Here is a 15,180-nt window from a genome sequence, read left to right as displayed (position 1 = left end):
CATCATGAAACTCAATTAAGTCAGCAGTGATAAAGCCTGAGAATATTTCTCCACAGTCTCTACATCAAAATGATTTGTGAAACACAGAGCTCTAGAAGGCAACCTAACATGCCAGGGAGAGACAGAGTGAATGTGGCCTGACCCTCTGCATTTTCAGTGATATCAAATGAAACAAGACATAGTGAGCATTAAACGTTGAAGATTTATTGCAAAACTCACCCATAAAATGCTACTTTGAAATAAGGAATTACACATAGTTAATACACTATTTATCTACAACACACATACACACATAGATGCCTTTCATCATCAGCTCTGCACACAGGTATGAGGCTCTTCCACTGCAATGAGGCAGCAAAGGGCAAATTTGTCTACATTTCAGGGAATAGAAAGGCCATTAAAAATAAATGACCGTCACAAATTGGAACCCTGCCTATTTCAGCCAATTTGGTCTGGAGGTGAGGTTTGGCTATGCCTCGGTGTTAGTTAGTGCAGATTTTATTCAGGGGAAAGTCAGGACCAGAACATCTTGTGTTCTGTTCATTCACTAGGTAGAAATAAACTATCGCATTTTACTTGTTATATATTAAGGGTATCATCGGTTACTGCAGTTAGCCTACCCTAACTAATACATCTTCCATGAGGAAGGCAATGTTCTAAAAAGACAAAGATAAGTAAGACATAGTACTTGCCACAAGTCAGTATTTTTTGTTGAAAATAGCATTTACTACTTCTTGTTAAAAAGTAATGTGCATTCATTATAGAAACTTTAGAAAATACAAAATGAAGATCATTCTAAAGATCAATAATCCCAATACCCAGAGATAAACACTGTTAACGTTTAGCTACATAGAGTTCTAGGCTTTTATTTTTATTGAAAGATCAATGGGAAGACAAGAGGAGAGGAGAGGAGGGGAGGGGAGAGAAGGGGAGGGGAGGGGAGGGGAGGAGAGGAGAGGAGAGGAGAGGAGAGGAGAGGAGAGGAGAGGAGAGGAGAGAAGAGAGGAAGGAAGGGAAGGAGGGAGGGAGGGAGGAAGGGAGGGAGAAAGAGGGAAGAAAGGAAAGGGAGACACAGAGAGAGAGAAAGAGAAAAGAAAAGGAAAAGCAAAGAAAGAAAAGTCAATCACACATGTATTATACAACACTTTTCACTTGACAATGTAATATAAACATATCTCTAAGTCATCATATTTTCTCCTACAAGAAGATTTGTAAAGACTATAGCACAATCCGTTATAGGGCTATCCAGTGTTATTTAACCATTCCACGGAAGGACAGTCAATCTGAAATGACAGGTAGTGACAGTACAACAAACAGGTAGATAGAGAAGCAGACCATTCTGGGAAAAGAGAACAATATGTGCAAATCCACAGAGCCCTAAAGCTGCCTGGCATATGTAGAGAATGCCATCAGTGTAGCACAAGGTTCTGGATAGGAGAAAGAACTGGACAAGAACACTTGGGACAAAAGCCAAAAGCCCTCACATGCCATTCAAAGGGGTCTGAGTTTTATCCTGATGTCAACCGAAAAGCTTTAGGTAAAAGCACAGTACCATCTATTCTATTTTAGAAAGACCACTCTAGCAACAGTATAGAAAATGGATGTGAGAAGGAAAGAATCCATGCATAAAGAGGCTGTTACAGTTGCAGTAAGAATCTATTACAGAGAAGTTGAAGTGAGGGAAGACGGGACGAATCTGAGATTTGTTAAGGACGTAGAATCAGTGGGATGTGGTCACTAATCTGGTATGGAGCAGGAGAGGTATCTGGTTTGAGGTAACTAAAAAATATTAATGCTGCCATATGGTGAGGGGTTAACTGAATTTATCTCAGCGCCTACTACTCTGGCACCAAATAAGTGTCGACCAAGGAAGTCACTGGGAATAACTGTGGTGATCATACTAGCAGTGAGGGTAGAGTCATTATTAGGATACAAATGTGCAGAGGGACTGGCAGTGGAGATGAGGCACTGGTTAAAATATTTCACATAAAGTGTTTGTAGGACATAAGTTACCAGGTAAGTAGTTAGATGTTCAGATAGAGAGCCAAAAAGAAAGGTCTGGGCTAGAGATATAGATTGAGGAAACATAATTTATAAGCAGCATTGGCTCTTCTGCAGTAGGTGAATCCACCAGGGGTCGGAGACGTTAAACTGAAGGAAAAAAAAAATGGACCTAGCCCAGCTAAGCCCTGCCCATCCTGCCCCAATGCCATGGAGCTGCCAATACCTCTTCATGCAGAAATTGTAAAAGTCAGATCAAATTATTCCCATTTGACAACTGTTTCAGCATTGCTCATTTTACTTATAAAAGAGCTTAAATGCATCCTTTTCTTGCCCAAACCATAAAAATCATAATTTGAGAAAGAACCCAACACTGGCATCTCAGCAGGAAGCCTCGCCCTGCAGCCATTAGAACTGCTGCCACCCCCCTGAAAACCAAGCTCTCCACACTCTCTGTGCTGACCTCATCCATTTCAGCAACAGTGCTAATTATTAGAACCTAAAACAATGCCCCATCTACATTGTAAAAATAAATTCACAGTAAATAGTAAAACCATTCAAATCTTTATTTTTTCATTTTAGCACCACAAATGACTGAACTTTCTCATTCTAAAGAATACAGCTGTGGATTAATCATACTTTATCATTTCAAAGACAGGCTTGCAGAGGCAATCATATTTGCTTTTTGAAAAGACGATGCCAGCGAATGCAAATAACTGTTAATATTTTTTTAAATGACACAAAAAGGCCATGGAGATAAGATTTGGAGAAAAGAGACACCTTCCCTTGAAGGTTCCCTCTCATTCAGCTCTCTTTCTCCTCTCTTAGAGTGTCTAAAAGTTTCACAGTTGTTTTCCCACATGTGTTCTCCTGAGAACAACACTAAATAAGAGGAGAGGAAGAGAAAATAAGCTCCAGAAAAAGCTCCAGAAGAAGGAGATTTCTATGTTTGGGTCATTTCTGAGGACCAAATACAGTTTAAACGGACCTTGAAAAGCATTTTACCTTCTCGTTTTGCATATTAGGAAACTGAGACCCAAATGAGTGAATAAAGTCAGCGACCCACAATCACACAGGTACTAACTACAAAGCTGAAAGTGGAAAGGATTCTTCTGACTCGAGGCCAGGGCACTTTTCACTGGCAAGTAAGCTGAAGACCCTGCTAGTATCCAAACACAAGAATAGTGTTGGCTGCCAGTGAGGCAAGACACACAGAAACAGAGAAAAATTTTAAAATACATACATTGTAACAAACACAATATGACAGAAGGAAAATTTGTAACAGTACCTTGTGTAAGGTACACAGGAAAGAGGAGCTCTGTGTTCAAATTCTAGAGTGCATATCCCTGGTAGGAATCATTACTAGTTTCATTATGGAAGCAGTAGGATTTGAGCTGTCCCTAGAAGGAAGAACAGAAATTCCACAGGTAGAAATGAGGGTGGAAGAAGATCGAGGCAGAGGAAATGGCATATGTAAAAACAGGAGGGTTAGGAAAGTGCCTGGCCTGTTCAGGGAGCAGTCAGAGTGGATGAAGTGTTCATATGGGAAGGTGAGAAAGATAAGGCTTTATTGAGGCTAAGGAGGATATTGAATGTTGAGATCTTGAGTTAACTATGGTGCATCCATTGAAACTTTCTAAGTAGGGAACAAGGCCTAAGAAAAGTAGCATTTCAGGCCAAGTGCAGTGGCTCATGCTTGTAATCCCAGCACTTTGGGAGGCTGAGGTGGGAGCATTGCTTGAGCTTAGGAGTTCAAGACCAGCCTGGGCAACATGGCAAAACCCCATCTCTACAAAAAATACAAAAATTAGCTGGGCATAGTGGCATGGGCCTGTGATACCAGCTACTTGGGAGGCTGAAGTGGAGGACTGCTTGAGTCCATGAGGTTGAGGCTGCAGTGAGCCAAGATCGTCCCACTGCACTCCCGCCTGGATGACAGAGCAAGACCCTGTCTGAAACAAACAAAAAAAAAAGTAGTATTTTAGAATGACTCAGCCTCTGGTGCGTACTGATTAGAAGGGGATTGGGGCAATGGACAGGAATACAGACAGGGAAATTGCTGGGGTAGAGGCAATTAATGAATACATTAAATCAATTAAAAGGTTCTGAAACTAATCAAAGTATGATAAGGTTCCTTTCTGGACTACACTGATAGCAATATGAATAAAAATACAATATTCTCATGATGACCTTGGAGGACTGTTTTCTGTAAGTCCATTCTCTAAGCTTATTCTTTACATCTTTCATTGTTTTTATTTCTAAGCTTATTCTTTAAATCGAAGCTTACTCAATTCTTTATTTCTAAGCTTACTCTTTAAATCATTGTTTTTATTAAGCTGTTATCCATTGTAATTTCCTTATTTCATGGTTTCAGATTCAGGATCTTACATGCTATTTAAACTAAGAGTTGAATAAATGAACACCTCTCTTTTCTGAGAACTTTTGCTTCTTGTTAATGACAGTGTAATTAGAGACACTAACTCTGTATAGAAAACAACAACAATATAAAAACTGCTCACCACTACTCCACGTGCATTAGGAAGGCTAGTATCAAAACAGTAGAAAATAGCATGTGTGAGGGAGGATGTGGAAAAACTGGAACCCTTGTTTACTGCTGGTGGGAATGTAAAATGGTGCAGCTGCTATGGAAAACAGTATGATAGCTCCTCCAAAAAGCAAACCTAGAACTACCATATGAGGCCGGGCACCATGGCTCACTCCTGTAATCCAGCATTTTGGGAGGCCGAGGCAGGCGGATCACCTGAGGTCAGGAGTTCAAGACCTGCCTGGCCAACATGGTGAAACCCCATTTTTACTAAAAATACAAAACTTAGGCATGGTGGCATGCACCTGTACTCCCAGCTATTCAGGAGGCTGAGGCAGGAGAATCACTTGAACTCAGGAGGTGGAGGTTGCAGTGAGCCAAGATCGTGCCACTGCACTCCAGCCTGGGCGACACAGTGAGATGCCATCTCAAAAAAAAAAAAAAGAAAAGAAAAAAAGAAAAAAGAATTACCATATGTTTCAGCAATTCTGCTTCTGTGTATATACCCAAAAAATTGAAAGCAGGGATTTGAGAAGACATTTCACAGCAGCATTATTTATAATAGCCAAAATGTGAAAGTAAACCAGGTGTCCACTGATGGATGGATGGATGAATAAACAAAATGTGTTATTTACATACAATGGAAAATTATTGAGCCTTTCAAAAGAAGGAAATTCTGACATATGCTACAACATGATGAACCTTGAGGACATTATGGTAAGTGAAATAAGCCAGTCACAAAAGGACAAATACCATATGATTCCACTTAAATGATGCACTTAGTAAAAATCAGAGAGGCAAACAGTAGAATAGTGTTTGTCAGTGGCTGGGGGAGGAGAAAATGAGAAGTTGTAATTTAATTGGTATAGAGTCTTGGTTTTACAAGGTCAAGAGTATGGCGATGGATGATGGTGATAGTTGTACAACATTACGAATGTATTGAATACTGCTGAACTCTACACTTAAGAAAGGTAGGGCCGGGCGCGGTGGCTCACGCCTGTAATCCCAGCACTTTGGGAGGCCGAGACGGGCGGATCACAAGGTCAGGAGATCTAGACCATCCTGGCTAACACGGTGAAACCCCGTCTCTACTAAAAATACAAAAATTAGCCGGGCATGGTGGCGCGCGCCTGTAGTCCCAGCTACACGGGAGGCTGAGGCAGGAGAATGGCGTGAACCCGGGAGGCGGAGCTTGCAGTGAGTCGAGATCGCGCCACAGCACTCCAGCCTGGGCGACAGAGCGAAACTCCGTCTCAAAAAAAAAAAAAAAAAAAAAAAAAAAGAGTAGTCAAATTTGTAAAGACAGAAAGTAGAATGGTGATTGGGGAAAAGGAGGAAAGGGAATGGGGAGTTAGTGTTTAATGAATACAGAGTTTCCACTTTGGGAAGATAAAATATCTGGAGATGGATTGCAGTGAGGGTTACACAACAATGCAAATACTTAATGCCACTGAACTGCACACCTAAAAATGGTTAAAATGGTAAATTTTATGTTACCATAAATTTTTCTAAACTGCTCATCGGAATAAAACTATATTCCAAAATGCTAGGGTGTTTTATAAAATTTCTGCTCCAACAAAAAGAAAGGTGCTAGTGTTCCTGAGGACAAGATGTGACCCATCTCTATGGATGGGAATGAAGACAACAGAGGAAAGGATTGTCCGGAGGTGTCCGGGCTTGCAAAGCAGCAGCATGCCTAGGTTATCTCAATGCTGTGGCCCTTTGTGCAGATGACAGGACAATGAGCACACCCACTCTGAGCAGAACCTCTCCATCCTGGCAACCACCAAGGGGCCCCAACTGCCAGAACCACTTCCCAAGGCTAATGAGAAATTCTATGTGAAGCAAACACAGCCATCCATTTCCTTCTCAGTAGACAGCTCCCCTGCTCTGTACAGAGGTACAGACGGGATGCTCCCTGCAGTGGAGGAAAATGCTGCCACCACATCTGCTGCTTCACTGATAACACATCATCTCCCACAGTGCCTCCAGGGCCGACTGAGGAAGTGAAGGCAAAGAACCTCATTATTCATCAGAGCCCAAATGGGCACATGCCACCCCACCTGCAGGTAAACCAAGAGCTGTTGTGATATTGGAAACAAGAAAAATAAGTAAAGAGGAACTGATCTAAAACCTCTTTGTATTACTTCTTAGGGATATAAGCTGTGTTTTTCCATCTTCAGTTATGAGAATGAATTTCAACATAAAGTATCACTTACAGTACTGAGATGGTTAAACACCTGTGAAGAGAGATCCAAGGAGAACACAAAATTTCTGAATACTGAAGTCTGTCACCCAAAATAAACTGGGATGGTTTACAAATGGTTCTGCTGAAAACAGTGGTAAGGGTTCATAGACTACAGCAAAACTCTTCTGTACTTTTAAGCATTTACAACACTGGAATTTTTTTTTCCTGCTGGGCTATAAGCTACACAGAACAAATATTGTTCTAAAAATAAGTGAGGGAAAAGTTTTGGGAAATTAAACAACCTTTCTCTGAAGCCCCAAAGGTCGATCCAGATTACAGTAAGGCTCTGGATGGGAAGAGAAGGGAACAGTGTCCTGGTATCAAACTCACCATATCAGAGATGAGAAGAGAAAAAAATCAAAAGTATGTTTTTATCTTTCTAAATTTAGGCTAGAACAGTGATTTCCACTATCCAACCAGCTGGGGTCCTTCAGTCATTTATTCATTAATTATTCAACAGGAATTTAATCTACACATAAAAATCAAACTCTATGTGTCTATCAAAGAGGCCAAAAAAATTTACCAACTCCATAAGTGGTAGTTATAACTATGTGGTTTTAGTATGCCCTCAATTTTTTTAGCTATCTTTGCCTTAATGGCAATTCCCAGATAAAAGACAACCATTTGGGATGATAGTATTACTGGTATGCATTTTCCAAATTTAGTGAAGCTGACAGTACTTCACATTTCTTATCCCTCGTCCATCCCCTGGGCTCTTAGGTATACCCAGTACCAAGACTCTAGTGCCCTCATCAGGTATGTTCCCTTGCACTGGGCTTGATTCAGCTCACATATTCTAGCACAGCAGAGCAAAAGAAAAGGAAACAATTCCCTCCTCTAGGTTCCCTTGGACCATTGCTACCTCATAAACCTGGCTACTAGCTCCGGATTCATGCACCACTCAGAGCTGTTTTCTTGTTCCCAGCAAGCCAGGGCAGATGTCCAAAGACAGAGCCTTGGGCTTTGGAGAGAAAGCCTCTGAACTAGAGATGCAATGCAGGTTACCATCCACGTCCTCATGGGATGGACAAAGACTCCATCAGAAACAGAAAGACCATTTGCATTCACAGTCTTGTGATCTAAGACCTCTATTTTCCAACATTCCTTGGACCCGGACAGCTGAATTTCAAGGTTTCGAGAGAAGGCTAGTCCATATGATAATGACTAGCAATCCTAAACTCATACACTACAATCCACTCCTGGGCCCCATCATTTACCCAAGGCTTCCCCTGTAGTATCTTCATAGGGGAAATAAAGAAGAAGAAAAGAAAAAACACAGAAGTCTGAGTTAGAAAGTAGTAGGACAGTCTCTTACGGTCCATCCAGACTGTAGGTAACATTTCTTCTTTTTGATTTTTTAGTTGTAATTTAAAACAAAGTATAAATTTTACTAGGTCCAAATGAGGTAAATCAAGGGCCAGGAAAGAACTTCCTAACAAACTATTTTCCGTAGGGAAAAATATCCTGGTTCTCCTGAAGAAGACCAAAAATTAATGTAAATTACCACATATGCATCTCTCTCTAGGATGCCTGGATGGCAAGTCTGTATTAGGGAGAACTGTTTCCTAATAATTGTATCTATGCCAAGAAGAGACTAGTCAATCTATTTTTAACCTTCAACTTCACCAAAATTTCTTGTATTTTATCTGCTTCAACCTGTATGGATAATTTAGGGACGAAAATCCAGGGGGCAAGTCTTCAGAAACAGATTTACTTGAAGTGCACTACAGCACTCAACAACTTAGGCAATATGAAAACACAACCTCTCAACTAGGACAATCCCTCAACTTAAAATGACCAAGTTTTGTCTTAGTCATACAATTATTTGTGAATTTGTATATTCTGTAAATCCACAAATAATTCAACATTAGATTTCAACAGAATGTGTCACTAAGCAAACGTTCAAGTACTATAAAGCGACTGATATTCTGGAGAGGTTGGGGGTAAACTAGCCAGGTTATATATTCTTTCATAATAGTAATTTTAACTTACATGTTATAACATAAAAGCGGAGTAACAATATGTATGCACAAATTTAGAGTATTCATATATTGGTTGAAAACTGTCCACAATGCCCATTTCTGTGATTAGGAAATAAGAACATTGTAAATTAGTTTTTACTTTCTTATGAAGACTTTCACTAAGCCATGTTGCACTATTTTGGGGTGGTAACAAATTGCTTGAATCAGTAAGAACCCTAATTGTATACTTTTTGTTTTCATTATCATTTATCTATACAAAGCTAATCAAAATACCCATTCATTAAGAGCTATCAAAAGAGATTATTTTTTCAGATCATTCAACCATATTTAAAACAAATAAAAGGCTAAGTATTGCTATGAGGATTTAGAGATCTTTGGATATCTAAGCAGTTCATAAATTGTCATTGAAATGTACAAGAGGGTTGTAAAAGACATTATGTTTATAATTAAGAAAAAAAAACAGGAAGAAAATAGGTATCGAAGCAAAGGAGATTTCCGGAAGAATGAATAGATTATATTTGACAAGGGCAATAACCCGCCCAATCACATCTTTTGCTCTCATTTGCTATAAATATACAAGCCAGAGGAAGTACAGCTCACTGTTTTAATTCTCTGTTGTCTAAAGCTCCTAGTCTTACTTAATACATCAGGACATATGGTAAGACTTTCCCTACATTCAGAGGATTTATAGATACCCCACAACAACAAGAACGATCCCCTAGTGCTAGTGAAATATTCTAACTCAGATATTTAAATCCACTTTTTAAAATATTTTTATTCTAAGGAGTTCTTCTCCCAAATGACCTATGTTGGTTTCATTTTTAACATACATATAAATAAATACATAGTTTCTCTACTCAGTAGAAGTAGCTATTTTAAATCCGGTATAGATTTTTGACAGCAAGATTTATAAAGTTTAAAAAGAGCAGTCACAAACACTTGGGAAATTAAATTTACATGTGTATTTACAACATACAAGCAGTCAGGCTATATCTGTTACTGTTTCTATTTCCTTAATATAGCTTTTATTAAGAATAGTTTTCTTTAATGCTGACTGGAAAATCTCTGCAGCATTTTCTTTCATTTTCAAAACACCATAAGGTTAGCACACTTTATTAAATAGTGACTGAAGATATTAAAAAGAGCAAGTGCTATGTATCATAAATATTTGATAAAGATGTTTACATTATCAATACATGCATACATGTATACATCTTCATTCTACCATCATATGATATAAAATACTTATATTGGCTTGTAAGATCAGAATTGATGTACAAATCTGGCATAGCCCAATTGTAGATGTTATTCAACCTCAGTGTTTGTACTCCTTTTTGGAAATCAGCTTCTGCCTCATATAACCACAATGCTTTGGAAGCTAAAAGTGTAGCACATCAAACAATGACTTGTTTGAATAATAGAGATTTAATCGGACAGCAAATTATCCTGCATTCCAATGAACATAAAACCCAAGGATATTTCTTAGGTCGTTCAGTGAGCAACAGAAAAAGTGAAGACTACAAACACTTTAAATAACTGTAAAGGAAGTGTCATTTATACAAACTTCAACTACAAAGCAATTAAGCTATGAATTTCCATGTTGTCTTCTAAAATACACTCATAGTTTCTGTTTCCAAAGGTCCATTTTTCAAAGAGCTTCTTGTTTTATCGACATTATTCCGGAGTTTATATTAGATGAGGGGGAAAGAGAAAAAGGAATTTCAAGAGGAAAGATTTTTATTAACTCAACCCTAAGGCTAATCTGTTGCATGTGTAGTTTCTACACTAGCAAACAACTTGTAGGAAACAACACAGCAGCTGAGAGCAGCAGAGCTGGAAACTGTTCCCCTGGGTATGATATCACAAAATGACTTTGCTCTATTCCTTCTCCAGCCTAGCATTATGGCTCAAGCCTGCACACAACCATCACGCCCCCAGGGCAGCTTCATGTTAGGTGAGGGCCTTCTGCTCCATCACTCTCCCTGAAATCTTCTGACCAGAAGCAGCTCAACCAGAACAAATCAGCCCCCATTCTCATTCTCATTCTTTCCTCTTGCTAGTTCTCTCTCTCTCTCTCTTTTCCATTTTTCTGTGTTTCTTTGCCTGGCAAATTCTGAATGGCATTATCTGACACCACACAACTGGATGAATTCACACATTCATTCATTCTCTCTCTCACACACACACACACACACACTTTTACACTCAATATTCCAAGTGCAGATTTACTGAATTTACATCATATAAAATAGCTGATATTATTTGCTTTTATCCTCCAGTTTTACAAGAAACACTATGTTTGTAAAAATGCGAGGAGAAACTTTTAGCATGATTTCAGTTAGAACTTAGCTAAATCTATTTGAGGTTAAAAGCAATATCCTACTTTAAATCATATAACACAAAAATCGCCAAGCACACACAATAGCTACAGAAATCCAGGGCAGTAACTTTGTGATTTCTTAACATACTCGATTACATGCAAAAAGATCTCCAGCTCATTAAAAACCCATTTTTTTAAAACGTGCCACAACTTACAACTATGTATTATATTTCTTTTGACTGGCAAACTGAGGGACAAAACTAAGTACCTTCAATGAAGTTTTTTCCCCTTAGAAGCACAAGAATAGAATATGATTCCTCCAAACAACATGAGTTTTCCATTTCCAAACATTCTCTGGATGCTTGTAAGAACTTTACCTCTCAAGTCTTACATTTATTTCTAGTTAAAAGGTATAACTAACACAATTGATAATGTAGTAATGCACCCCCAATCCTAGGCATCACAGCTAACTACAATCCCCTTTATATTAACTTCCCACCATGTGGTGTGAATGATTCAAAACTCATGACTTGGGATAAAGGAAAAATCCTTCCTGAATTACACACTATAAAACATATGAAAACTGGACAGTGGTGTTGCTTAAAAGGTTTTGTTTCAGATTCTGTAACAGAGTAACATATGCTGCAGTACGATGGTGCTGAGCTTTTCGGTTGCCTAATAAGACAGCTCCCAGCAGAGCATTTCCCATGCTTTGGAGTGACATCTATCAGTGGGTCTCGGGGAATCCCTATGCCACTTAGCTTTCTTCAGCACCACTCTCTGAACAGCTTCTGTCCACTGAGTGGTGCAATCCTAACAGGTCTCTGGCATACAAAGTACATTGTTCAGATAAGGGAATGGTGGGTGAACAATGATCTTTGCTGTCATTAAAACCAAATCATCAGGTATTAATTAACAGCAGGACTTAACCACCACAAATGCCAACCAGAAATTTAAATAATTGGCCCCCACCAGACACAAATTTAAAAGAACTGACACACTCTCCATCACAGGCAGACTCTGCTTGGCATGGTGCTGAGTTTTATAAAAATTCAATTAACCCAAACGTCTATTAGACGGATACATAAAGACCAGGGGGAAAAGCTATTATGCATGTTGGAATTTGTGATGTGTAATCGTGTTAATTTACTGTTTGAGAAGAAACCCCGCTATGTGTTAGTGATTATATAGTAATCAGGAAATTATACAGATATTTAGATCATAGAAATTAGTTTATGAATGGCATAAACATAATGCTACCTCAGCAACGAAATGAGATAATCAGCTAATTTCTCAAACCTGATCATATGAAGCAGACCCGGGAAGAATACTTTTCAGTGGTAAGTGGGAAAAGGTGTAGCAAATAATTGCTAAACTTCCAAAATTCTTCTTCTTCAGGGCCTACATGTGATATTCCATAATTTCGTTCATCTGTTCTGATGCAGTGAAGTGCAAAAACATCCTCCAAACCAAAATATTGTGAAAACAAAATTTCTTGAGATGACTTGGCCAAAAAAAAAAACCCCCACCAATAACAACTTTATAATTCTCACATATTACACATATTCACAAGGTACAGACTGCACCTCTCTGCTGGACATTGAGTTGCCAAAAAACTCTGCCACATCTGTCGGGGAATGTCAGTGCACTGCCCCTTCCTTGCAGAGACTTCACAGACACAGAAGCAAACCCCTAACCATCTCCACACTCTGGACTCCAAGTGAAGGGAAGGCGTTAAAATCCTGCGGGACTCACCCTTCCTCCTTCAAAGGAGGCCCAGAATCAGCAACTCCTAACCAAAGCCAAGTTCATATCACCCACAAGAAAGCAGCCGGCACATTTCCGATCTACTTGGTGAGCCAAACCCCAAAGGATTAAAAAGTTTCAGGAGGCCCCAACCCAGGACTAAACTTGGGCTTTCTCCAGTGGCAAAGCCTAAGACAAGGGAAGCTGGAGAAAGCGAAACCTCCCTCTCTGAGGATCGCTGAGAACCCACCACCCTGAAACCAACAACTGGGACCCAGAGCGCCTCTGCCTTGCTCGGGCGGCCGTCGAGCCCCGCTGCCCGCGCGCCCGGGATGCGCCCTCCTCGCCGCGGGTTCGCGCCCCCAAGGGCGAGGAACTTACCGCACCGCTTGCACAGCACCCGGCTGACCTCCTTCTTGAGGTTCCGGCCCGTCTCCAGAGGGGGGAAAGAGGCTCGGAAGGCGGCCGGCGCGCGGCTGGTGCTGTTGGCGTCGGGCTCCATGAAGAAGATGTACCTGCTGTCCTCCTTGAGCCTCCCGCAGGAGGGGAAGGCGGGGTGGCCCCAGGTCCCCAGGCGCACGGTGAGCAGCGAGTCCTTCTTCAAGCCCCCGGCTTTCACCGCCCACACCTGGTGCACCTTCACCAGATAGGGCGCCTCCTCCCCGGGCTCGCCGGCGCTGGGCACCGGGGCGGTGGGCCAAGAGGGCACGGTCCCGTTGGCGGCGAGCAGCGGCTCCTCGGCGGGCGGCCCCAGCGCCCGTGGGCCCGCGGCTGGCGGCTCGCGATCGCCGCCCCACGCCCCTGCCTCGCCCGCCGCCGCCGCCGCCTTCCTGTCGAGTGCCCCCTGCTGCCGCCGCTGCGGGTGCACCTTTCCCTCGATCACCACCGCGGCGCGCTGAGCTAGCTCCTGCACCGATCCCACGCTGGGCGGGGACGAGTAGCACACCGAGGCCCCCGCGGGAGCCGCCTCGTTGCCGGCCGCCGCCCCCGGCGCCAGGGCCGCGGTCCCCAGCAGCAGCAGTAGTGGCAGCAGCGGCAGCGGCGGCGACGAGCGGGCGGCGGAGCCGGGGCGCTGGGCCCGGGGGCCGGGACGCCCGGAGCGGCGCGGGGCGCGTCGCCATCTCATGGTGCGAGGTGCGTGCGGGCTTCTGGCTGTCGGTTCGGACTCTGCCCGGCTCTCTCGCGCTGCCTCCCTTTTCCTTCCCCTCGCAGCACCACTCCTCCTCCTCCCCCCTTGCCCTCCTCCTTTTATTTATTTATTGGGGGTGCAGGGGTAGGAGAGTTGTTTATGGGAGGAGGAGGGGGAAGAAGTGGATGGAACCACAGAAAGGCGAAGAGGTATAAGGGCAAAAAAAAAAAAGGCAAAATAGAAAAGGCAAAAAAACCGCTGCCGCCGCCTCAGTTACAGGGAGTGACAGGTCCCCCCACCCCCCGCGCCGCCGCCGCGCCCGAGCCCTGCTGTCGGGGCTGCTGTCACCGGAGGAGGACGTGGAGGTGGAGGAGCTGCTCCGCGGGTGACAGTCCTTTGTGTGAAGTGATGCTGCGGCGGCTGCTGGGGCTGCGAGCAAGCGGCTGGGAGAGAGCGCGAGGGAGAGAGCCCTGGAGGCGGAGTTGCGTGCCTGGAAATCGCTGGGTGGCCGCGGCGGCGACAGCGTCCTGCGCCTCGCCAGCCTGTTTACCTGTGGTGCCAACTCGGCCCGCGCGTCCTTTCCCCATGCTGCTGCCGGAGCGGAGCGGGACCCGCGAGTGGGTCCTCCTGGGCGTCCCCGTCCCCGCGCGCCTCCTCCCTCTCTGTCGCCCCGAGTGCTGCAATGGGAGGACGGGCGGCAAACAGGCTGCAGTCCGAGTGGGCTGCGGAGGCTTACTGGGGAGTGAGAGGTGACGCTTCAGTGAGCAAGGACCTGTAGCCGGCGCAGGATGCCCAGGCGCCGGTGGGAGGCAGGCAGAGAGGGGCAGGTGGGACCCCGGGCGTGCGGGTCCTCGGTGCAGAAAAGTTTTGGGTGAACCCGTTGCTTGACACTTAAAAGGGAGCAACATGTTCGCAGGCGACAAGCAGCGATTAAAACAACAACTTTATAACGCTCTCTCTCCTTGCAGCGCGCACACACAGTGTGCACTTCAGATGTGACGCCTCCTCTACTCCATGCTCCTTTGATCCTTCGGTCTTCATGACCCCCGCCTTTTCTTTTACTGAAATTCCTGCTTCACCATGACTTTATGACATGTGTGGTACTGCTGATAGGAGCATAGTTTGAATAAAATATTTGCTGAACGAGGCCATTTTGTACAAAGTTTATGGCACTTTGTCAACTAATGGGTTTTGCAAAAAATAAAAATA

General features: G+C 43.0%; 1 protein-coding gene across 10 annotated transcripts in view; it reads right to left on the bottom strand.

Annotated features, from left to right (window-relative positions):
- Nucleotides 1-14,708, bottom strand: part of NRG1 (neuregulin 1) — a 1,134,802-nt gene extending 1,120,094 nt beyond the window's left edge. For 5 of the 10 annotated variants that reach the window (NM_001159999.3, NM_001159995.3, NM_001322201.2 and 2 more), the window contains exon 1: nt 14,522-14,708. In NM_001159999.3, the coding sequence (NP_001153471.1) occupies nt 14,522-14,558 (37 nt within the window). In that variant the 5' untranslated portion in view covers nt 14,559-14,708. Of the gene's footprint in view, nt 1-13,223; nt 14,409-14,521 lie in introns of those variants that run through there. The other 5 variants (XM_011544512.3, XM_017013367.2, XM_017013371.3 and 2 more) reach the window with 1 other exon arrangement.

The sequence above is a fragment of the Homo sapiens genome, chromosome 8 (genome assembly GCF_000001405.40).
Source record: "Homo sapiens chromosome 8, GRCh38.p14 Primary Assembly".
NCBI classification, from domain to species: Eukaryota; Metazoa; Chordata; class Mammalia; order Primates; family Hominidae; genus Homo; species Homo sapiens.
Note: the sequence above shows the minus strand (reverse complement) of the source record. Positions and strands in the feature narration are given on the sequence as shown.